The sequence below is a fragment of the Homo sapiens genome, chromosome 3, assembly GCF_000001405.40.
Source record: "Homo sapiens chromosome 3, GRCh38.p14 Primary Assembly".
NCBI classification, from domain to species: domain Eukaryota; kingdom Metazoa; phylum Chordata; class Mammalia; order Primates; family Hominidae; genus Homo; species Homo sapiens.
In genome coordinates this window covers 112,681,805-112,707,655 of record NC_000003.12, presented here as the reverse complement: position 1 = coordinate 112,707,655, position 25,851 = coordinate 112,681,805, and the positions used below count along the sequence as shown (strand labels likewise).

General features: G+C 40.6%; 1 pseudogene, besides 1 other annotated feature; it reads left to right on the top strand.

Annotated features, from left to right (window-relative positions):
* MAT2AP1 (MAT2A pseudogene 1) lies at window positions 4,249–12,248 on the top strand (annotated as a pseudogene).
* Window positions 20,745–21,334: an enhancer, noted in NCBI's record as "OCT4-NANOG hESC enhancer chr3:112405169-112405758 (GRCh37/hg19 assembly coordinates)". NCBI's record gives its function as "activates a minimal SCP1, AML or CMV promoter by ChIP-STARR-seq in primed H9 embryonic stem cells {active_cell/tissue: H9 hESC(primed)}" and the evidence as "EXISTENCE:reporter gene assay evidence [ECO:0000049][PMID:30033119]".

The following is a 25,851-nucleotide window of genomic DNA, read 5'->3' as shown; positions in this document are numbered from 1 at the left end:
GAAGATACCTCAAAATAATAAGAGCCATCTATGACAAACCCCATAGCCAACGTCATACTAAGTAGGCAAAAGCTGGAAGCATTTCTCTTGAAAACCGGCACAAGACAAGGGTGCCCTATCTCACCACTCTTATTCAACATAGTATTGGAGGTCCTGGCCAGAGCAATCAGGCAAGAGATAAAAGGCATCCAAATAGGAGAAGAGGAAGTCAAACGATTCCTGTTTGCACATGACATAATTCTATATCTAGAAAACCCCATATTCTCAGCCCCAAATCTCCTTAAGCTGATAAACAACATCAGCAAGATTTCAGGATACAAAATCAATGTACAAAAATTGCCAGCATTCCTACATATCAACAACATCCAAGGAAGACTGTTGTCAGTGTATAGGAATGCTAGCAATTTTTGTACATTTTGTACATTGCTTCCAACACCAACATAGGAAACATCACAGTACCCAACTTCAAACTATACTACAGAGCTACAGTAACCAAAATAGCATGGTACTGGTACAAAAACAGAAACATAGGTCAACAGAACAGAATAAAGACTGCTGAAACAATGTTGCACATCTACAACCATCTGATCTTTAAAACAACTGACAAAAACGAGCAATAGGAAAAGGATTCCATATTCAATAAATGGTACTGAGATAACTGGTTAGTCACATGTGGAAGTCTGAAAGTGGACCCCTTCTTTATACCATACACAAAAATTAACTCAAGATAGACTAAAGACTTAAATGTAAAACCCAAAACTGTAAAAAAAAATTTGAAGACAACCTAGGCAATACCATTCGGGACATAGGAACTGGCAAAGACTTCATGACAAAGATGCCAAAAGCAATTGCAACAAAAGCAAAAATTGATAAATGGGATCTAATTAAAGAGCTTCTGCACAGCAAACAAAACCATCAAGAGAATAAATAGACAACTTACAAAATAAAAGAAAACATTTGCAAACCATGCATCTGACAAAGGTCTAATATCCAGCATCTATAAGGAACTTAAAGAAATTTACAAGTAAAAAAATGACCCCATTAAAAAGTGGACAAAGGACATGAACAGACACTTTTCAAAAGAAGCATATGAAAAAAGCTCAATATTACTGATTATTAGAGAAATGCAAATCAAAAACAAAATGGGATACCATCTCATACTAGTCAGAATGGCTATTATTAAAAAGTCAAAAATAACATGCTGGCAAGGTTGCAGAGAAAAGGGAATGCTTATACACTGTTGTTGGGAGTGTAAATTAGTTTAACTATTGTGGAAAGCAGTGTGACAATTCCTCAAACAGCTAAAAACAGAACTACCATTCGACCTAGCAGTCACATTACTGGGTAATATACCCAAAGGAATATAAATTATTCTATGATAAAGACACATGCACACGTACATTCACTGCAGCACTAATTGCAATAGCAAAGACATGGAATCAACCTAAATGCCCATCAATGGAAGACTGGATTAAAAAAAAAATGTGGTACACAGCCAACATCATACTGAATGGGCAAAAGCTGGGACCATTTCTCTTGAAAACAGGCAGAAGACAAGAATGCCCTCTCTCACCACTCCTATTCAACATAGTATTGGAAGTTCTGGCCAGAGCAATCAGGCAAGAGAGAAAAATAAAGGGCATCCACATAGGAAGAGAGGAAGTCAAATTGTCTTTGTTTGCAGATGATATGATCCTATATCTAGAAAACCCCATCAATTCAACCCAAAAGCTTCTTTTTATCTTTTTATTTTTCCATAAGTTGTTGGGGTACAGGTGGTATTTGGTTACATCAGTAAATTCTTTAGTGGTTATTTGTGAGATTTTGGTGCACCCATCACCTAAGCAGTATACACTGCACCCTATTTGTAGTCTTTTATCCCTTGCCCCCCTGCCACCCTTCCCTGCAAGTCCCCAAAATTCATTCTATCATTCTTATGCCTTTGCTTCATCATAGCTTAGCTCTCACATACCAGTGAGAACATACGATGCTTGGTTTTCTGTTCCTGAGTTACTTGACTTAGAATAATAGTCTCCAATCTCAGTCAGGTGGCTGCAAATGCATTAATTCATTCCTTTTTATGGCTGAGTAGTATTCCATCATATATGTATATATACACCACAGTTTATCCATCCACTCGCGGATTGATGGGAATTTGGGTTGGTTCCACGATTTTGAAATTGCAAATTGTGCTGCTATAAACATGCGTGTGCAAGTATCTTTTTTGTATAATGACTTTTTTTCTCTGGGTAGATACCCAGTAGTGGGATAGCTGGATCAAATGCTAGTTCCACTTTTATTTCCTTAAGGAATCTTCACACTGTTTTCCACAGCAGCTGTACTAGTTTACATTCCCACCAGCAGTGTAGAAGTGTTCTCTGGTCACCATGTCCACGCCAACATCTACTGTTTTTTGATTATGGCCATTCTTGCAGGAGTAAGGTTGTATCGCATTGTTGTTTTGATTTGCATTTCCCTGATCATTAGTGATGTTCAGCATTTTTTCATATGTTTATTGGCCACTTGTATATCTTCTTTTGGGAATTGTCTATTCATGTCCTTAGCCTGCTTTTTGATGAGATTGGTTTTTTCTTATTCATTTGTTTGAATTCATTGTAGATTCTGTATATTAGTCCTTTGTCAGATGTACAGATCGTGAAGATTTTCTCCCACTCTGTGGGTTGTCTGTATACTCTACTGACTGTCCCTTTTGCCATGCAAAAGCTCTTTAGTTTAAATCCCAGCTATTTATCTTTGTTTTCTATTGCATTTGCTTTTGGGTTCTTGGTCATGAAATCCTTGCCTAAGCCAATGTCTGGAAGGATTTTTCCAATATTATCTTCTAAAAGTTTTATAGTTTCAGGTCTCAGGTTTAAGTCCATAATCCATCTTGGTTCAATTTTTGTATAAGGTGAGAGATGAAGATCCAGTTTCATTCTCCTACATGTGGCTAGTCAATTATTCCAGCAACATTTGTTGAAAAGGGTGTCCTTTTCCCACTTTGTTTTGTTTGCTTTGTTGAAGATCAGTTGGCTGTAAGTATTTGGGCTTATTTATGGGTTCTCTGTTTTGTTCCATTGGTCTATGTGCCAATTTTTAGTACCATCCTGTTTTGGTGACTATGTCCTTATAGTATAGTTTGAAATCAAGTATTGTGATGCCTCTAGATTTGTTCCTATAGCTTAGGCTTGCTTTGGCTATCAGGGCTCTTTTTTGGTTCTATATGAATTTTATAATTGTTTTCTGTAATTCTGTGAAAAATAATGTGGTATTTTGGTGGGGATTGTGTTGAATTTGCAGATCACTTTTGGCAGTATGGTCATTTTCACAATATTGGTTCTATCCATCCTTGAGCATGGGTTGTGTTTCCATTTGTTTGTGTCATCTATGATTTCTTTGAGCAGTGTTTTGTAGTTTTCCTTGCAGTGGTCCTTCACCTCCTTCCTTAGGTATATTTTTAAGTGCTTTTGTTATTATTGTTGTTTGTTTTTGTTTGTTTGTTTTTGCAGCTATTGTAAAAGGGGTTGAATTCTTGATTTGATTCTTTGTTGGTCGCTGTTGGTGTATAGAAGAGCTACTGATTTGTGTATGTTAATCTTGTATCCGGAAACTTTGCTGAATTCTTTTATGAGTTCTAGGAGCTTTCTGGAGGAGTCTTTAGGGTTTTCAAGGCAAACGATCATATTGTCAGCAAAGAGTAACAATGTTTGACTTCCTTTTTACCAGTTTGGATGCCCTTTATTTCTTTCTCTTGTCTGATTGCTCTGGCTAGGACTTCCAGTACTATGTTGAAGAGGAGTGGTGAGAGTGGGCATCCTTGTCTTTTTCCAGTTCTCAAAAGGGATGCTTTGAACTTTTTCTCATTCAGTATTATGTGGGCTGTGGGTTTGTCACAGAAGGCTTTTATTACATTGAGCTCATGTCCATTGTGTGCCAGTTTGGCTGAGAGTTTTAATTATAAAGAGAAGCTGGATTTTGTCCAATGCTTTATCTGCATCTATTGAGATGATCGTGTAATTTTTGTTTTTAATACTGTTTATGTGATGTATCACATTTATTGACTTGCATATGTTAAACTAGCCCTTCATCCCTGGTATGAAACCCACTTGGTCATGGTGGATTATCTTTTTGATATGCTGTTGGATTCAGTTAGCTAGTATTTTGTTAAGGATTTTAGCATCTGTGTTCATCAGGGATATCGGTCTGTAGTTCTCTTTTTTGATTATGTCCTTTTCTGGTTTTGGTATTAGGGTGATGCTGGCTTATGGAATGAATTACTGAGGGCTCCCTCTTTCTCTATCTTGTGGAATAGTGTCAAAATGATTGGTACCAATTCTTCTTTGAATGTCTGGTAGAATTCTGCTGTGAATCTGCCTGGTCCTGGAATTTTTTTTTTTTTTTGGTAATTTTTAAATGACCATTTCAATCTTGCTGCTTGTTATTGGTCTGTTCAGGATATCTAATTCTTCCTGACTTAAGCCAGGAGGGTTGTATTTTTCTGGGAATTTATCTATTTTTTTCTAGGTTTTCTAGTTTATGTGCATAAAGGTGTTCATAGTAGCCTTGAATGATCTTCTGTATTTCTGTGGTGTCAGTTGTAATATCTCCCGTTCCATTTCTTAATGAGGTTATTTGGATTTTCTCCCTTCTTTTCTTGGTTAATCTTGCTAATGGTCTATCAATTTTATTTATCTTTTCAAAGAACCAGCTTTTTGTTTCATTTATCTTTTGTATTTTTGCTTGTTTGTTCATTTGAATTTCATTTAGTTCTGCTCTGATCTTTGTTATTTCCCTTTTTCTGCTGGGTTTGGGTTTGGTTTGTTCTTATTTCTCTAGTTCCTTGAGGTGTGACCTTAGATTGTCAGTTTGTGCTCTTTCAGTCTTTTTGATGTAGGCATTTAGGGCTATGAACTTTCCTCTTATCACCACCTTTGCTGTATCCCAGAGGTTTTGATAGGTTGTGTCATTATTGTCGTTCAGTTCAAAGAAATTTTTAATTTCTATCTTGATTTCATTTTTGACCTAATGATCACTCAGGAGCAGGTTATTTAATTTCCATGTATTTGCATAGTTTTGAAGGTTCCTTTTGGAGTTGATTTCCAGTTTTATTCCACTGTGGTCTGAGAGAGTGCTTGATACAATTTCAATTTTCTTAAATTTATCGAGGTGCGTTTTGTGGCCTATCATATGGCCTATCTTGGAGAAAGTTTTATGCGCTGTTGAATAGAATGTGTATTCTGCAGTTGTTCAATGAAATGTTTTGTATATATCGGTTAAGTCGATTTGTTCCAAGGTATAGTTTAAATACATTGTTTCTTTATGACTTTCTGTCTTGATAACCTTTCTAGTGCTGTCAGTGGAGTACAGAAGTCCCCCATTATTATTGTATTGCTGTCTATCTCATTTCTTAGGTCTAGTAGTAATTGTTTTATAAATTTGGGAGCTCCAGCATTAGGTGCATATGTGTTTAGGATTGTGATATTTTCCTGTTGGACAAGGCCTTTACCATTATATATAATGTCCCTCTTTTTCTCTTTTGACTGCTTTTGCTTTAAAGTTTGCTTTGTCTGATATAAGAATAGTTACCCCTTCTCACTTTTGGTGTCCATTTGCATGAAATGCATTTTTCTACCCTTTACTTTAAGTTTATGTGAGTCCTTATGTGTCGTAAGTCTCCTGAAGGCAGTAGATGGTTGGTGAGTTCTCATCCATTCTGCAGTTCTTTTAAGTGGAGCATTTAGGCCATTTACATTCAACGTTAGTATTGAGATGTGAGGTATCATCACATTTATTGTGCTGTTTGTTGCCTGTGTACCTTGATTTCTTTTGTTTGTTTGTTTTTGCTTTTAAATTGTATTTTTGTTTTATAGGTCCTATGTGATTTATGCTTTAAAAAGGTTCTGTTTTGATGTGTTCCCAGGATTTGTTTCAAGACTTAGAGCTCCTTTTAGCAGTTCTTGTAGTGGTGGCTTGTTAGTGGCAAATTCTCTCAGCATTTGTTTGTCTGAAAAATACTGTATCTTTCCTTCATATATGATGCTTAGTTTCACTGAATACAAAATTCTTGGCTGATAAAATTGTTTTGTTTGAGGAGATAGGGCCCCAATCTCTTTTAGCTTGTAAGGTTTCTGCTGAGAAATCTGCTGTCAATCTGATAGGTTTTCCTTTATAGGTTACCTGGAGCTTTTGTCTCACAGCTCTTAAGATTCTTTCCCTCATCTTAACTTTAGATAACCTGATGACAATGTGCCTAGGCAATGATCTTTTTGTGATGACTTTCCGAGGTGTTCTTTGTGCTTCTTACATTTGGATGTCTAGGTCTCTAGCAAGGCTGGGGAAGTTTTCCTCTATCATTCCCCCAAATATGTTTTCCAAAGTTTTAGATTACTCTTCTTCCTCAGGAACACCGATTATTCTTAGGTTTGGTCTTTTAACATAATCTCAGACTTCTTGGAGGCTTTGTTCATGTTTTCTTATTCTATTTTCTTTGTCTTTGTTAGATTGGGTTAATTTGGAGACCTTGTCTTCAAGCTCTGAATTCCTTTCTTCTACTTGTTCAATTCTATTGCTGAGACTTTCCAGATCATTTTGGATTTCTATAAGTGTGTCCAATTTTTCCTGAAATTTTCATTGTTTTTTTCTTTATGCTCTCTATTTCCTTGTGTATTAGGGTTCTCTTAGAGGGAGAGAAGTAATAGAATATATATATATACATACATACACACACATATACATATATCAGACTTGTGGGCAGGAAGCATATAGCATGGGAGAAAGATGTCGGCTGGGAGCCTAGACCTGTCTCTCTTTTTCACATTTTTCTGCTCAGTTTATATTCACTGGCAGCTGATTAGATTATGCCTACCAGATGAAGTGTGGATCTGCCTTCCCCAGTCCACGGACTCAAATGTTAATCTCTTTTGGCAACACCTTCACAGACACACCCAGGATCAATACTTTGTATCCTTCAATCCAATCAAGTTGACACTCAGTATTAACCATCACAAGTCCATCCCTTGTCAACTTGAACCCATATACATATCCTGTGATAATACATAGTCTTCAGATAAAGACAATGATAAGGTCATAATTATGCCTAACATAAGACAACTATCCTTCGTACAACCAGAAACCCACCAATCCTCAACTCAAATACTATTACATAAAGTTAATGATACTTAAATGCTGATATGAAGTCAATAAATCTTATGTCACATGATAAAGGAGAAAGGAAATAAAATTAAGATATTTTCTTAGTAAAAGTGTATACATGCACAAACATGTTTAACAAAAGAAGGAGAAAATACTCATGACAATTACAGTCCTCATTTCTGCAGCTGGTCACGTGGTCATAGCTGGTATTGATGACTACCTTCTTCTACTACCCATTCTGTATTCCCTTTGCTTTCAGCAAGCACCTCAGCAGGTTGAGGTTTTTTCCTGGTGGAGTGACCCAAACCTTCATTCCTGAAGGGTCTGGGTCATTTGTAGTCCTGCCTGGATTGGGCTATTGTAGTTTCCCATTGATCTTAATCACAGGGCATGATAACACTAAGATGCCCTAGTTCATCTCCTGTATTCCGTAAGTACTATTCCTTACCTCCATTGTGGAGTAGTAGACTGATTTCATCTTGATAGTCTGGGTCAATCACCCCAGCCAACACTGTAACTCCCTTCTTAGCCTATTGACTTAAAGGTAGGAGGAGCCCAAAGTGGCAATATTAACTTCCAGTTTAATTGAATTGTTGTGTCTCCAGGTGGCAGCATTCCTCCCTCTGGAACTAAGACCTCTAGGCCAGCAGAACGTAATGTCGCGGGAACAGGAAACAAAAATTTTGCTAGTGAGTCACTAGGGGTAATGGTGAGTGGTGCCACTTCCACTTCCACCCCTTCATTCCTGGACCCATAAATCCTGGTTATGGGAGGAACAGTATCACATATTAGACACTGATTCAGAGCATACACAGCCTTCTGGAGGACTTTGCCCCAGCCCTGCAAAGTATTGTCTCCTAGTTGGCATTGTAATTATGACTTCAAAAGCCCATTCCAGCTATCAATCCTGCTGCTCAGGATGATGGGGAACATGGTGAGACCAGTGAATTCTATGAGCATGAGTCTACTGCCAAATGCAATGAGTGTCTTGGTCAGAGGCAATGCTGTGTGGAATACCACAGTGGTGGATAAGGCATTCCGTGAGCCCACAGTTGGTAGTCCTGGCTGAAGCACTGCGTGGAGGATAGGCAAACCCATATCCAGAGTAAGTGTCTATTCTGGTGAGGACAAACCTCTGCCCTTTCCATGATGGAAGAGGTCCAATATAATCAACCAGCCACCAGGTAGCTGGCTGATCACCCCGAGGAATGGTGCCATATTGAGGGCTCAGTGTTGGTCTCTGCTGCTGGCAAATTGGGTTCTCAGCAGTGGCTGCAGCCAGGTCAGCCTTGGTGAGTGGAAGTCCATGTTGCTGAGCCCATGTGTAACCTCCATCCCTGCCACTATGGCCACTTTGTTCATGGGCCCACTGGGCAATGACAGGGGCGGCTGGGGAAAGAGGCTGAGTGGTGTCCACAGAACAGGCCATCCTATCCATTTGATTATTAAACTCCTCCTTCAGTGAGGTCACCCATTGGTAAGCACTCATATGGGATACAAATATCTTCAGTTTTTGACCACTGACAGAGGTCCATTCACATACTTCTTCCCCAAATTTCTTTGTCACCAATTTTCCAATCATGCTTCTTCCAATTCCCTGACCATCCAGCCAAACCATTGGCTACAGCCCATGAATCAGTATATAATCACACCTCTGGCCATTTCTTCTTCCATGCAAAGTGCACAACCAGGTACATTGCTCAAAATTCTGCCCACTGGGAAGATTTCCCTTCACTGCTGTCCTTCAGGGATGTCCTAGAAAGGGGCTATAGGGCTGCAGCTCTTCACTTTTGGGTGGTGCCTGCATATCGTGCAGAACCATCTGTGAACCAGGCCCTAGTCTTCTCTCCCTCTGTCAACTTATCATAGGGAACTCCTTATGAGGCCATCAGTGCAGGCTGGGGGAGAGAAGGCAGGGGGGAAGGAGTGAAGACCATGGGCTTTTGAGTCACTTCCTCATGTAACTTACTTGTGCCTTCAGGACCTGCTCGAGCCTGATCACATATATACCACTTTCATTTGATGATGGAATGCTGCTGTGCATGACCTACTTTATGTCTAGATGGGTTAGAAAGCACCCAGTTCATGAAAGGCAATTCAGGTTGCATGGTGACTTGATGGCCCATAGTCAAACGTTCAGTTTCCACCAAAGCCCAGTAGCAGGCCAAGAGCTCTCTCAAAAGGAGAGTAGTTATCTGCAGAAGATGGAAGGGGCTTGCTCAAAATCCTAGAGGCCTCTGCTGTGATTCACCTATGGGAGCCTGCCAAAGGCTCCAAACAGCATCCATATCTGCCACTGACACCTCAAGCACCATTGGATCTCCTGGATCATATGCCCCAAGTGGCAGAGCATCTTGCACAGCAGCCTAGACCTCTTGCAGAGTCTCCTCCTGTTCTGGAATCCCTCTCAAAATTGGCAGCATTTCGGGTCACTTGATAAATGGGCTGGAATAACACACCCAAATGAGGAATGTGTTGTCTCCAAAATCTAAATAGGCTCACTAGGTATTGTGTCTCTTTCTTGGTTGTAGGAGGGATCAAATGCAGCAATGTATCCTTTATCTTAGAAGGAATATCTCAACAGACCCCACACCAGTGGACCCCTAGAAATTTTACTGAGGTAGAAGGTCACTGAATTTTAGTCAGATTTATTTCCCAACCTCTGGCATGCAAATGTCTCACCAATAAGTCCAGTGTGTTTGCTACTTCTTGCTCACTGGATCCAATCAGCATAATGTCATCAATGTAATGGACCAGTGTGATATCTTGCCAAAGCAAAAAGTGATCAAAATCTCTCTGAGAAAGCTATTAGAGATTGTGAAGAATAATTTCTATCTCCGCCCTGGGGTCATTGTCAGGTAAAGATGGTAAAGCCTATTGCTAGTCAAGTATTGAGGGTATGGGTGTGTGTATATATACTTAAGGCTGAGGAGGTGAAGGTGTGAAGGAAGACTCCTCAAATGGGAATATATTTTAATTCCTAGAACAGTTTTGAACTACTACCTTGGTGAAGACTTAGTTATTTGAGAAATTTAAAATTACGGTGCTCCATGGCTTAGGCTAACGACTCTAGAGAATCTTCCAGATTTGATATTTGAGCTTTGTGCTCTTCTTACCTAAGAGTGTTGAGAAAATAGAGATAAAACGGGATGCTCAAGGTTTGTTACAATGTAAAAACCATGGTAGGGTGTGGGCGGTGGGACCTTGGTAAGTATTCTGTGATCTCAGATGAGCTTTTTGACAATTGAAATTTCTCAGAATAATGACAAGTTTTCGTATTTGTTGAGCCAGGGATGGAAAAATAACTATAGTTACTAATAAGGACTGTGCAAGGAGTTTGGACACCAGGGAAGTAACACTTTTGCCACAAATATTTTTCCTAGCATATCCCAGAGAACTCATTTGCCAGAGCTCTTGAAAATGAGTCTTGCTGATTGTTTTGCTTTATTTTAATTTAATGCTACATATTAAGTTACGGACTTGTCTATTCCAGGGATCTGGATCTGAAGAAGCCAATTTATCAGAGGACTGTAGCCTATGGCCACTTTGGTAGGGACAGCTTCCCATGGGAAGTGCCCAAAAAGCTTAAATATTGAAAGTGTTAGCCTTTTCTCCCCAGACTTGTTGGCATAGGATACAGAGAAGCCTTCAAGCTCTGAGGGAAAGGGCCCTCCTTCCTAAATTTTCCTGTCCTCTTTCAGCTCCTGATCCGTTGCAGTCACTCTAGTCAATGACATGAATTTTAGCTTTTGTGGGGGACTGTAAGTTGGGCTTGCTATTCTGTCCCTAGGTGTTTTGTTCACCATTATAATGAATTTAGTGAGCATAGGTGATCCATGTAACTGCCTAGAAACAACACTGTAGTAAATAATGCTTTGAAATTGAACCTTTGTGCCCTATCACCCAATGCTCCAAAGTCATAATTGCATTGACTTTCCCACCAGATGCTGAAAATGTCCTTGTAATACGCACGTAAAGTACTTGTAGTTCCACTTATAGCCTCTGTCTGGCAATGCCACAGCCCTGTCAGCATGAATTTGTAATGTCTTGAGCTCTATTATGAATGTGAAGCCTTCCCCTTATCCTCCCTGTAACTTGATCCATTTCTAATTATGTAGCTCTTTGTCAGGGAGTGTTCCCTATCCAATCAATCTTGCATGTAACGCAAGTTCCCAGTTGGAGCTGCAGCCTAACATCAAAAAAGGCAGTTACCATTAAACCATCTCCCTGGTGCTTATGCTCTTCATTGCCACCTCTAACAGTACCAAATCAAAATCTCTCCACTTCCAACTGTCTTTTGGAGGATGTAGGTAATAAGGTTTTAATTTAGTAAACCAATCCTATGCATGGTTTCAGCAGTAGCCAAACGTCACCAACTCCTAGTTCTAGAAAAACAGGCACTTGGCAGCCTTGTGATATCATACAGAGAAGTCACAGGGCAGTACCTGAGGGTCTGTAGGTTACACACTTTGGTACCAGATAACTTTTTTTTTCTTTATAAGAAAGCCTGAGTACTCCACACTGCACAATAACTCCTCCCAGTGTTTTAACTTTGTTTTATTTTCAAAACCAGGTCCAATGAGCTTTCTGAACAGCTGGTGTAGCTACAGAGAAACCAGCTTCCTTCAGAGAGCAGTGTTTTTGGTGGGGAGGAGGAAATCCCTTCATACTTGAACATTTTCTAATTGCTTATTGTATTCTGGGGTATGGCGTAAGTACAGAGAAGCCATCACCTCAGATGGCAGCTTTTAAAAGATTTCTTTTTTCTCTCAACACCATGATTCCTTTAACAACATGTTTCCAGCATTCCCAGGTAGGCCAAGGTGTCCTACAGAAAAACCTTGGGTTAGACCTACAGGGGATCTGGCTGGTGTTAACAGAAGGAAGGGCAGAGCTGGTGCAGCTGGCCGTGGAGAAAGCTGACTTGGCTGGTGTGGTACAGAGAAGCCAGCTTGTTTACATGCTTATTCCATGACTGCTTGCCCTAAGCAGAAAGTGCCTTTCAGGATCTATTTTTGGAGGTTTATTACGTATGTCTGGTTCTCAATTCCAACAGTTTAATGAAGATCTAAATAAAATGCTAGGTTCTACCTTAAAAAAAAAACCTCTCTGAATATGATTATGACACAAAGCCAGAAAGTTCATATACCCCTGAGGTAGGACAGTAAAGGTATATTGCTGGCCTTGCCAGCTGAAGACAAATTGCTTCTGGTGGGCCTTACAGACAGGAATGGAGAAGAAGGCATTTGCCAAGTCAATGGCTGCATACCAGTTACCAGGAGATGTGTTAATTTGCTCAAGCAATGAAACCACATCTGGTACAGCAGCTGCAATTGGAGTCACTACTTGGTTAAGCTTACAGTCATCCACTGTCATTCTCCAAAATCCACCTGTCTTCTGCACAGGCCAAATGGGAAAGTTGTACAGGGATGTGGTGGGAATCACCACTTGTGCGTCTTTCAAGTCTCCTTGATGGTGGCACTAATCACCGTAACTCCTTCAGGGATGTGATATTGTTTTTGATTTACTATTTTTATATGTAGAGGCAGCTCTAATGGTTTCCATTTGGCCTTTCCCACCATAATAACCCTCACCTTGCCAGTCAGGGAGCCAATGTGGGGGTTCTGCCAGCTGCTGAGTATTTCTATGCCAATTATGCTTTCTGAAACTGGGGAAATGACCACAGGATGAGTCTGGGGACCCACTGGACCCACTGTAAGTCAGACCTGAGCTAAAACTCCATTAATTACCTGACTTCCATAAGCCTCTACCTTAACTGGAAGACCACAGTGAGGTTTTGGGTTCCCTGGAATCAAAGTCAGCTCAGAGCCAGTGTCCAATAGTCCCCAAATGTCTGATCATTTCCCTTTCCGCAATGCAGTTACCCTGATAAAAGGCCAGAGGTCTCCTTAGGGAAGGATGGGAGAAAGATTCACTGCATAAATGTCAGCAATGTAGTGGATCCTTCCTCAAGGGGACCAGGCCTCCCCTTCATTCAAGGGGTTCTGGGTCTGAAAACTGGCTCAAGTCTGGAAATTGATTGAGAGGCCATGATTCTCTGTTTTTATAATTCAAATTAGTCTTTCATCCATTCAATCTAGAAGTTGTTTGTTTGTATAATTTAAGTAGGAATGCAGTAGGCTTCCTATCAATTTCACTTCTAGGAACACCGTGATTAATTAGCCAATGCCAGAACTCTACACAAGTCATACTATTCTGATTGCCACTTTGTCTCTGCTGCCCATTACAGTAACTATGCCCACCTTGCCTTTGACAGTTGAGTGCTGCCACTTGGCCTTTGCCACCTTTGGATCCAATTATTCCCATTGTATTTAAATTTCATAGTTGAGTGACTGCATCTCCCACTTTTAGCTCTGACATACAGAGTTTGGATCCGTTGCTGGTGAGCTAGTGTGATTTTTTGGAGGGTGTTAAAGAGCCTTGTGCTGTAATATTACCAGAGTTGGTTTTCTGGTTTCTTCTCATTTGGGTAGGCTCTGTCAGAGGGAATGTCTAGGGCTGAAGGCTGTTCTTCAGATTCTTTTGTTCCACAGGGTGTTCCCTTGATGTAGTACTCTCTCTTTTCCTATGGATGTGGCTTCCTGAGAGTGGAGCTGTAGTGACTGTTATCTCTCTTCTGGGTCTAGCCACCCACCAAGTCTATCTGGCTCCAGGCTGGTACAGGAGGTTGTCTGCATAGAGTCCTGTGAGGTGAACCATCTATGGGTCTCTCAGCCATGGATACCAGCACTTGTGCTGGTGGAGGTGGCAGGGGGGTGTAATGGACTCTGTGAGGGTTCTTAGATTTGGTGGTTTAATGTTCTATTTTTGTGCTGGTTGGCCTCCTGCTGGGAGGTGGCGCTTTCCAGAGAGTATCAACTGTGGTAGTATGGAGAGGAACTGGTGGTGGGTGGGGCCCTAGAACTCCCAAGAGTATATGCCCTTTGTCTTTAGCTACCAGGGAGGGTAGGGAAGGCCCATCAGGTGGGGGCAGGGCTAGGAGTGTCTGAGCTCAGACTTTCCTTGGGCTGGTCTTGCTGCAGCTGCTGTGGGGGATGGGGGTGAGGTTCCCAGGTCAATGGAATTGTGTACCTAGGAGGATTATGGCTGCTGTGCCAAGTCATGCAGGTTGTCAGGGAAGTGGGGGAAAGCCTGCAGTCACAGGCCTCACCTGGCTCCCATGCAATCTAAAAGGCCGGTCTCACTCCCACCGTGCTCCCCCAACAGTGCTGAGTCTGTTTCCAGACTGCGGGCAGCGAAGGCTTGAGAACTTGCCCCAGGGTACCCACCTCCCAGCTGCAAAAGAAAAGGGCTTGGTTCTTCCCCAGCCTGTGAAGCCTGCATACCGGATTTGCACCCTCCCCCCAGTTCTGGCCAGGAGGCTTCTCACCCTAGTTCAAATTGTTACAAAGTTCAGCTAGGGATTTGCTTCTCCCTGCGTAGTTTTACTCCCTTCTCCTCTGGTCACCCTCCAAAAGGATCCCTGTGATGCCAGGTAGGAATGGCTTGCTTGGGGACCCAGTGAGCTCCCAGGGCCTTTCTCACTGCTTCTTTTACTCCTGTATTTTGCTTACCTCTCTAAATTGACTCAGTTCCAGCTAAGGTCAGAAACTTCTCCTGCAAACTAGACCTTCAGTTTCCCCAGTGGGGAGGTGTGTTCGGGATCAGAGGATCTCCCTTTCCCACTTCCACAGTGTGGTCACTCACAGTATTTGAGGTGTCTCCTGGGTCCTGCAGGAGCAGTCCACTTCCTTCAGAGGGTCTGTGGGTCCTCTAGGGATTCCTCGTTTGTTCTTCAGTCATTCTGGAGCTAAAATTCATGATGCAAACCTCCACACGCTTCTCTGTCCATCTGAGTCAGAGCTGCAATCTAGTCTTGCTTCCCGCCTGCCATCATGATCCCTCAATTGCTTTCCCAAAGCTATTTAAGCAGATAAACAACTTTGGCAAAACTTCAGGATACAAAATCAATGTGCAAAAATCACTGCATTTGTAGACACCAACAACAGTTAAGATGAGAGCCAAATCAGGAATGAACTCCCATTCACAATTGCCACAAAAGAATAAAATACCTAGAAATACAGCTAACTAGGGAGGTGAAATATCTCTACAAGGAGAACTACAAACCACTGCTCAAAGAAATCAGAGAGACAACAAATGGAAAACATTCCATGCCCATGGATAGGAAGAATCAATATCATTAAAATGGCCATACTGCCCAAAACAATTTATGGATTCAATACTACTACTATTAAACTACCATTGATATTCTTCACAAACTAGGAAAAATTACTGTAAAATTCATATGAAACCAAAAAAGAGCCTGAACAGCCAAAGCAATCCTAGCAAAAGAACAAAGTTGGAGGCATCACACTACTTGACTTTAAACTATATTACAGGGCTACAGCAACCAAAACAGCATGTTACTGGTAGAAGAACAGACACATAGACCAATGCAACAGAATAGAGAACCCAGAAATAAGACTGCACACATACAACTATCTGATCTTAAACAAACCTGACAAAAAATAAGCAATAGGGAAAGGATTCCCTATTCAATAAATGGTGCTGGGATAACTGGCTAGCCACAAGTGAAAGATTAAAAGTGGATCCCTTCCCTATAGCATATACAAAAATTAACTCAAGATGGATTAAAGACTTAAATGTAAAACCTAAAACTATGAAAACCCTGGAAGACCACCTAGGCGATACCATTCAGGACATAGGAACTGGCAAAGATTTCATGACAAAGACACCCGGAGCAATTGCAACAAAAGCAAAAATTGACCAATGGGATCCAATTAAACTAAAGACTTTCTGCACAGCAAAAGAAACTATCAACAGGGTAAACAGACAACCTACATTGTGAGAGAAAATTTTTGCAAAGTATGCATCTGACAAAGGTCTAATATTTACCATCCATAAGGAACTTAAAGAAATTTATAAGGAAAAAAAACCCATTAAGAAGTAGGCAAAGGACATAAACAGACACTTTTCAAAAGAAGACATACATGCAGCCAACAATCATATGAAAAAAAGCTCAATATCATTGATCATTAGAGAAATGCCAATCAAAACCTCAGTGAGATACCAGCTAACACCAGTCAGAATAGCTATTATTAAAAAATAAAAAAAAATAGACTCTGGTGGTGAGGTTGTGGAGAAAAAGGGACACTATACACTATTAGTGGGAGTGTAAATTAGTTCAGCCATTGTGGAAGACAGTGTGGCGATTCCTCAAAGACGTAAAAACAGAAATACCATTTGACCCCACAATCCCATTACTGGGTATACACCCAAAGGAATATAAATTATTCTTTTATAAAGACACATGCACACATATGTTCATTTTGGCACTATTCCCAATAGCAAAGACATGGAATAAACCCAAATGCCCATTAATGATAGACTGAATGAAGAAAATGTGGTACATATACACTGTAGAATACTATGCAGCTATAAAAAAGAATGTGACCATGTCCTTTGCAGGGGCATGGATGAAGCTGAAGGTCATTATCCTTAGCAAACGAACACAAGATCAGAAAACCAAATATAGCATGTTCTCACTTACAAGTGGGAGCTAAATTATGAGAACACATGGACACAAAGAGGGGAACAACAGACTCTGGGGCCTACCAGAGGATGGGAGGATGGAGAGGAGCAGAAATAATACCTATTGGTTATTAGGCTTAGTACCTGGGTGACAAAATAATCTGTACATCAAACCCCCGTGACACGAGTTTATCTATATAACACGCCTGCACTTGTATTCCTGAATCTAAAATAAAAGAGTTTTTTATTTGTTTGTTTGTTTGTTTTAAAAAAAAGAAGAGGTAGCCAGACATAGAACACCAAAAGCTTACCCAGTAGCAGTGAGACTCATGGGAAGAGGATGGCTTATAGTCATACACACCTAGGTCTAAAGTGTGGTGTGGCCAAATAATTCCACTTCTGAGCCTCAGTTTCTTCCTCTGCACATGAGGGATCATGGCGACTAACCCATGCAGAGTTTCAATGTAAGGGATCATGCAGTTTCCGGTCTATGGTCAATATTCCAGCAATGGTAGTTATTCTAGTGGTTAAAAGGCCATTCCTTGCTAATTTACCTCTGAAATTGGAGCCATGGTTCGCAGTGCTCCTGCTTTGAATTCTGGCTTTAGTTTTGACTTTTTATGCTATTTGTTCCTGGCATCAGCACCTAGTCTATATTTTGTGTCTAACTTAGTCACTTGCCTCTCCTGTGCAACCTGCACTGGGGCCTTTGTGTCCTGGGATTTTCCTGTGCCCCTGTGACCTCTGGATTCAGCTTGCCCTGCATTCCTAGCTTTGGTGCCTGCTCCACTGGGCCTGTGTCTGGCAAGGCCGCTACTGAGCTGGGACAATTAGAATTTTTAAAAAGTAGGAAAGGAAAGTATGAATAATGTTTATTAAAAGAGCTGAAGAAAGAATAGCTACAGAAGTAGAAAGCCACAAAATGAAAGCAGGAAAATCACTAATGCAGTAACAACAAAGGCTGAGCAATAGGGTGTAAAAATAAGCCAAGGGTCTTTTGATGTCTTTGTTGCTGTCTACTCTCAGCGCTGATGTAGTAGTAAAATTGCTGTAGGTCAGAGAGCTTGAACCAAATGGGGAATCAACATCGAAGGAGTCTTGAAGTATGGTGAGTTGCTGCAGACAAAGAGTAAACTGCTTGCCTACTGTGGGCAGGAGCCCACAAAACTTAGGAGATATGTGCTTGCAAAGCAAATGCTGGCTTTTTGTGGATTTAAAAACTGCCAGGGACAAATTCTCCCCTCCTTTTCTACTAAGCCTCCTGCCAATACCAACAAGCAATTTTAGCTGAAAACAAAACAAAAAACCACACCTACTTCAGGTTGGCCTTGCAATCTCCAACCACTGTCTGCAAGACTGAAAACATAATTCCATATGATACTTTCTCTTCCTCAATAAGGTGGTGAGCTGGTGAGCTAGGGGCTTTAAAACCGAAGGCTAGAAATGTTCCCCTTGATGAACATTCCTGGTAAGAAGAGGTTAGAACACAGCACATCAAAAAGGTTGACTAGAGTGAGGGAAACTCTAGACCTAAGACTAACAGCTGATAAGTTTGTGATTAACAATCTTTCTGCATTCAGCAGTCTGAGTGCACACCATTTATTTTATTTGAAACAAAAACTGAATCTAATTTTACAGAAATGAGGGGACAGCACTCTGGTTTTACTGATGCTTATAAAAGCAGATTGTTGCCTCAAGTTTAAAAATGTAAAGAAGCAGAGCTTCCCAGCCTTCTCCATTCCCATCAAACTTGCAAACAGGAGGAAATCCTGGAAGGAGAGGGAGAAAGGAATCAGGGAGAAAAGGGTGGAGCACAATAAATACATATGTGTCTGGTTATTGAGCATGGTCTTTTACATCCTACCTGGAATGAGTCACACACAGACAGTTCCTGGCAAAACTTGAAAGAAGCTTTTATATTTCAACTTTGATGGATTCAGCTTGCTGCAATTCCCAGCATAGCCAGTCCTTGGAAAAAAAAGCACACAGAATCCGCATGCCCTGGACCTGCCCTTTTATTCAGTCTCTCCCCCTTCCTGGTTCCTAGTTGTGACCTTCCCAGATGTCTGGTTCCTCTAGGCTGCCGTCTTCCCACTGGGCTCTTGCTTTTTTTTAGTTTTGACCAGTCCTGTTAGCATAGCCAACTTCACCTACTCATGATACTCTTTCCTCTGACTCTATCAAAGTTCCTTTGTGATAGAGGAAGCAAGGGATGAAGGTTATGGACTGGTGGGCAAATGAAACAGGGAAAAAACTTGTAACTTTATTCACTTAACAAATATTTATTGAGTATTCATCCTGTGCTAGCTGCTAGGACTTCAGTGGTCAATGAGGTAGTCATCAGCTGAGCTTTGAAGAACCTGCTCTTGTATGTGCTTGAGTTCTACTTAATACTACATACAAGTAACATCTACTGAGCCCTTACTATATGCCAGGCACTGTGCAAAAACCTTCATCTTACCAAATCCCCACCGCAGCCTTGTAAAGAGGTAAATTTATCAGTTCTGTTTTGTAAATTGAAAGTCAAGAGGCTGGAACTCATAAAGCCTGTAAGAGGTGAAGCTAGGATTTTATCCAGTGTCTAACTCCTGCCCCAGGCCCCTTAACTTCTGTGCTGCATTCCACTGGTTTAGAATCACAGATCCTTGCACATTATCACCCTTAAATGTTTATAGAATTGAACTGTTTGTTCAGGAAAGTGCTTCAGGATTAGCCTTGTGAGTGAGAAGAAGGTGGTGACATAGGTGATGATAATATGATGGATTACACACGTCCTGGAATTCTACCTTTGGAATTTACCCTGGGAGGTGATTTATCACTTTCTTTTACAGTTCTCTTTCAAAAACTAAATAACTCTAGAATATGGAAGAAGAGTCACATTCAGGCCTAAACATCTTAATGAGAATTGGTTTTATTAGTCTTTTTTCCCCTCTGGACATAATAAGCATCCCAGAAAAAGGGGATTTTGGAGTGTTCAGAATGCTTTGGGGGCCATTGAGTCTCCCTTTACCATTTGGAGCCTAGGGCTGGTCCTGGGCTATTAGACCTGGACCTGTTTTACTTGAAACCAACTAGCCTCCTGTGGGACATTATCTTTGGCTAAGCATCTATCTCAGACCATGGCATATCCTCTGGCCATTACTAAGCATTTCTGAGAAACCCTCCACCCATCTGAATTTGCAATGATCTCCCTGTTTGGCTGAGTTGCCAATCAAAACAACATCCTCCTCTCTGGACCAATATGTTTTTTCCCAGCATGGTGAAGTCAGTGCTTGCTGGTGTCCTGCAGATTCGAAAGATTGGAAATTATAGTCAATCAAGCTATCCTGAAGATTATGATAGGGAACCTGCTTTCTCCCCATGTTGGAAATTCTCTGTTGTCAAGGCAAAGGCACACCTCAGTAAAACAAAGACCTGGGCAATTATTTTGAAAGACACAGCCATTTTATTGTCCAGGTCTGCAAAACATAAGCACGGTCCCTTCTGGGACAGTACCCTTGTAATTCAGCTATTGTCTAAATTCCAAAGCCCTAAGTTTTGTTTGGTTTGTGGCTCAGCAGTGACATAATTGCTGTCAATCCCTAGTCAGACATAGCCTGCAAGCCTGTCTGGCTTGCAGGACGAAACCCATCTTCACTGGGAAGCATGAGACAGTTCTAACATTGTTTCAGGCAGTGAAGCCCAGTAAGAGAAGGAAAACGTTAATTTCAGACCTACAAATTGCTTTCTTTCCTGAGCAGACCCAAGGGTGGAAAAGAAGAGGAACCTCAGCAACAGTAATAATTTGTTTCTAGTCTGAGAACCCTCTGCCTCTTTTTTTCCCCCATAAAGAAGCAGGTGGCAGAAAGAATCAGATGAAGTCCAGGTGGTAAAGGATTAAGACTGCTCCAAGGAAATAAAGTCTAAATCTGACCATCTTTCAAGCACTCTACCAAAAATTTTTAAAATTTTATCCACTGATTCTCCCTTTTGAAGATTAGCATAATAATAAATTCTTACACAGTGCTTACTCTGTGTTGGGCACTAATCTTTTTAAAAATTAATGTATATTAAGTCCTTAAATTCTCAAAGCAACTCTATGAGATAGAAAGCATTTTTATTTCCATTTTACAAAAGAGGCAACCAAGGCACAGAGAGGATCAGTAATCCACCCAAGTGTTCATAATAACTAAGTGGTAGAGTACGGAGCTGAAGGGCTCCAGTCTAGCTCTAGGGCTTAAGAAACTCCAAATACTTGTCCCAGAATAAAAGGGAGAATGTAAAGACAGATAAAACAGCATCAGTCTTTTCTTTCCTTTGATGCAGTTGACCATGCTTTATATTTGAATGACAAGAACTAATCCACAATGCTCAACCAGCACTAATGCTCTCTGTCTCTGGAATTCCTCTATCCCTTTGTTTTTACCATTTCCTCCCTGACCAGGCTGGCTACTCCACGTGCCAGCTGGTATCTGTGGACTGGTTATGTTAGAAATGGTGCTGGAGAATGTGTCCACTCAGAAAAGTCACCTTAGAGTGCAGCCCACAGTCAGCGTTTTTGGGCAAATTAGACCAAGTTACTTTCTTTTCAGATCTATTACAGGAGCCCACACATGGATTCTGGTTAGACAGTATGTCATTTTCCAGAACTCAGCACGTGATTGCCAAATTTCTATTCGAAGGTGACATTTTATGAAACACCAGATGTTCTTTGGTATCTGACTAAAGTTAAGTATCAAAACAGCCATGAATCCATAGGAATAGAACAGTAATCCCCCCAGGAAAGTTTTCTCTCTCTCAGATCACTGACTAATAACTGAGTTGACCAATTCAACTAGATGGAAGTGTTGCAAAGTAAAGATAATTGGCTACTGTGGAAAGAGATGTGAGCTAGCTAAGCTCATTTGGGTTGCAAAACATAACTTTGTCATTAATTTATTTCATTTTGTTTCTAAAATCCATTTTAAAAAACCCAGTTTTTCACTTTATGACTCTATTTTTCCTACTATTTTAGTAGTCTCTATTTTATATCCATTATTCAACATTTCACATTGTAAGTTCATGGTGATTGTTTCCAATGCTAAGATCTTCAACTCTAAGAGTTTAGAAAAACATTAGGACCACCCGGGCCAATTATCTTGTTTTGTATATGAAGAGGCTGAGACTGAGCTGGATTAAGGACTTCTCAAAGTTGTACGGCGAGAGAGATGGTGAAAGATGAGGCTTCACAACGACATCTGGTTAGAGCTCAGCTTCCTCTGACCAAAACTGTTGCTGAGGCAGAGACAGAGGGCAGGAGCTGTTCAACGCTGGCTGTATCCGTTCTCCAATCCCTGTGCTAGGTTGCTTTGTTATGAACACCAGATGCCGTATTAGTGACTCTGGAATTAGAAGAGTGAGATGGGTGGGGCGCAATGTATGAGTCTGTTTATTGTAGTGGGCCTGTGTCCAGATGCTGTCTGTCTCCTCATGGTTTTCCATCCTTAACTTCTGGTCATTTGGCCTTGGGGATACCTTCATAGATCCTACTTCAAGAACAGGAGATAGTTTTGGGGCTTACAATTATAAGACCTACACAGACTTAATCACAGACAAAAACAGATTTTTACTTTTTTCTTGATCATTTTTGTTAAGAATAGCTTGTTTTTACTTAAAAGTAGTTTAGGAGTCTACATGGCATCTATAATGATATATGTTCTGTAAATTATCTTGTCCTATGTAGAATATAGCCACAATGTATATATATGTGTATTTATTTATGCATATTTGTGTATATGTTTCTAAATCTACTCACTCTGCCTATCTGAAAGCCTGTGTGGGAAGCTGTGGGTTCCAAGGTTATACATATTTAATCTGAAGTTAAAAGTATCCCCTGACTCTTCTCTACGATCTTCAGACATGGTTTCCCATGTGAAAATGTCTTAAAAAAAAAATCTCTGGCAAAATAATCCCACCCTGCTTAATGGAAATTTCATAATACTTTGGAAAATATTCCTGCCATACTCCAGGGCTTCCAGATGGGAATCTACAGAGGATCCTATGGAATGTGTGATGGATCTTGACTCCTGTTTTATCCTGATGCTTCTATTACTTTGCTAGCATCCACATCATGTGACTGGCCATACTGAATTGTTTGGAGGCACAAGTGGCCTCATCTGACAGAATAATCTCCAATTGACTTGGGGGATTATAAAATACACATTCACCAGGCTCTAGCTCTGCCCATCATTGTGAAATAGGCAGTATTTGCCACTGGTTCCTGATTCTGGCTCTGTGCTCCTCTAACAGTCTGCCTCCCTCTCCCAGTGGAGTTCTAGAGTACCCCAAAACTGTTCCTAACTGGAGCCACAAATCTGATCTCCCTCTTAGGATTTTGTCCTAGACCAGTGTTCTCTAATTCTGTTTTTTTCATCCCACTCTCCTGTCAAATTCTGTCCACATGTCCTGAGTCATCATATAAGAAATAAATAACTCCTTCTGATACACTATTGTTTAATAGGTCGCCCCTCCCAAGGATACTTGCGTTTAGAGGAAAACCCCTGGAGGTAGACAACCTACACTCTTGGGACTTAATTTTCAATGGTGGAACTTTATACACTGGGAACTTTAAACACTGAGATATAATTTTGGCGGGCAATTGGAGTGGGGGTAGATATACCTCCCTAGACTCATTCAAACACTCAAAGTGTTAAAACACATGGAAAACAGGACAGTGTGGTGTTTCTCCCAGAAATAAAAAGGTGCATAGAGGACGATGTGAAAGCTGTGTCTTCTCTCTCAAGGACAAATGGACTGGAAATTAGGATTTGTTCTCAGGTAAGACACAAAATCAGAGGTAAATCCATGGGACTATGGAGGATCACCCTTATAACTATATCTGAGAAATATTCATGGAGAATATAGGATAAGGATTACACCCACTACTGGTATAAATGAAAAGGAGGGGAGTGAATATTTGACTAATAATTTAAAAGTTCTCAATTTTATGAGTCAATGGACTCATTGGAACATTGCTAAGAATGAATCACAAAGAGTTAATAAAATATTTTCCATTGTATTCAGAATGTATTATATTTTCTTTAGCAATATGTTTACCCTCCAGGATACGTTAAGTAAAGGTGGGCTATGAAGGGTTGGGGGTGGGGGACATCTAATCTGGTAGCAAACATTTGTTTTAAATAAGCTACACGGCAGACAACCCACAAATGTGTATGTGAGAAAACTACTATACAACTTTGCTTAACATTGTTTTATTAAGTTGAAATATGTTTTTAAATAATCTGAAAGAAAAAAGGCCTGGCCCTGGTAAAATCAAAGTGCTAAGACAGCTTTAACAAAAATATCTAGGGCCCACACATCATATCAGTAAAGGAAAAGAGAAAACAGATAAATGTTTTCATAATTATAAACATAATTTGAGTCCCTATCGTATTTGTCTTTTTAGGCAATCAGGGAAGAAAACTGTTATTAAAAGTTATGACTTAGGGCTATTTAGAGTCACTAAGGAATCAAGATGCCTCAGCCTTTTAGCTCAGGTAGAAAAAAACAATTCCTGATTCTAGGAAAGAAGTCAGGGTGAAGTTTGTTCTTATGTCTTACAGTTCCAACTAGAGTTACTTTGAATTAAATGGCGATTGCAACAGCTGAATTTAGTAATAAACAGTAGTCCATACACAGGTTTAGAGATTTGTGTTTTTATAATTTCTGTTCCAGGTTATTTAACTCCTTCTTGCGACTAGATGTTAATTCCCTTAACTTGAGATTTAATACAAAGTTAAACTTTTGTTTTGCTTTGTTTTGTTTTTTGTTGTTGTTTGTTTTTTGAGATAGTCTCACTCTGTCACCCAGGCTGGAGTGCAGTGGTTCAATCTTGGCTCACTGCAACCTCCTCCTCTTGGGTTCAAGCGATTCTCCTACTTCAGCCTCCTGAGTAGCTGGGTTTACAGGCGCCCGCCATCACGCCCGGCTAAATTTTTGTATTTTTAGTAGAGATGAGGTTTCATCATGTTGGTCAGGCTGGTCTCAAACTCCTAACTTCAGCTGATCCACCCACTTCAGCCTCCCAAAGTGCTCTTGTTGCCCAGGCTGGAGTGCAATGGTGTAATCTCAGCTCAATGCAACCCCCGTCTCCTAGATTCAAGGAATTCTCCTGCCTCAGCCTCCCGAGTAGCTGGGATTACAGGCTCCTGCCATCATGCACAGCTAGTTTTTGTATTTTTGGTAGAGACGGGGTTTCACCGTGTTGTCCAGGCTGGTCTCGAACTCCTTCCTCAGGTGATGACTGGCCTCAGCCTCCCAAAGTGATGGGATTACAGGCATGAGCCACTGCACCCAGCCTGAAGTTTAACTTTTTAAAGAAAATATTTAATTAGTATTCTCAGTTCATTGAGTCAGGGATGTGCTGTACGTCAAACACAGTCATGAGTAAGACATCCCCCTTTGCCTGTTGGCAAGGCCCAAGGAGAAGCAATGAAAGAAAAATGGGATATTTTTATTTGTGGCGAATATCACAGTATACTTAGAAGCTCTATTTAATTTTCCTGTTTATAAGCAGTGAAAAAACCTCTAAGAGTTCTTTGACCTGACAATGATCATGCAGCCATGTCAAAAAAAGGAAACTGTGGACTATTCTATGTACCCATGTGTCTACCTATTCTACTTCTCTTCTCTTTGTACAATCTAAACTTAGGTTTCGACTCATTGGCTTAGATATTTCCTCAGATAAATAACTCCAAAGTGAGCTCTGAATCATACTTGCCTGAAAATATTTGAAAGTACTCTTTTATAAATCCTTGTATCTAAGGTCTTCAGAAAATAAGGAAAAACATGCTGAAACATCCTAAGGAATTGGCAGAGGCCAGGAAATATGAGCTTGTTATGAGGGGGAATTTTGTTGAGACCTCTGAGGAAGGGAATGGTTTATTGTTCTGATTTTAGCAGTCAGTGAAAGGGACATTGGCTGAATGCCAGGTAGGGAAATGAAACCTGTAATGAAAAAAAGCCCTGCCATCAGAAATCTAACCACATCTTCCCAGCACTCACTGGAATTTTGTAAAATAGCTTTTGCAAAGTAACCTCATAAGTATAAACATTACATTTATGTCAGCCTACTACACTCATCTGCCCAGGATTGGGATGCCTTTCGGCTCCACCAACTAGAGAAAGAAA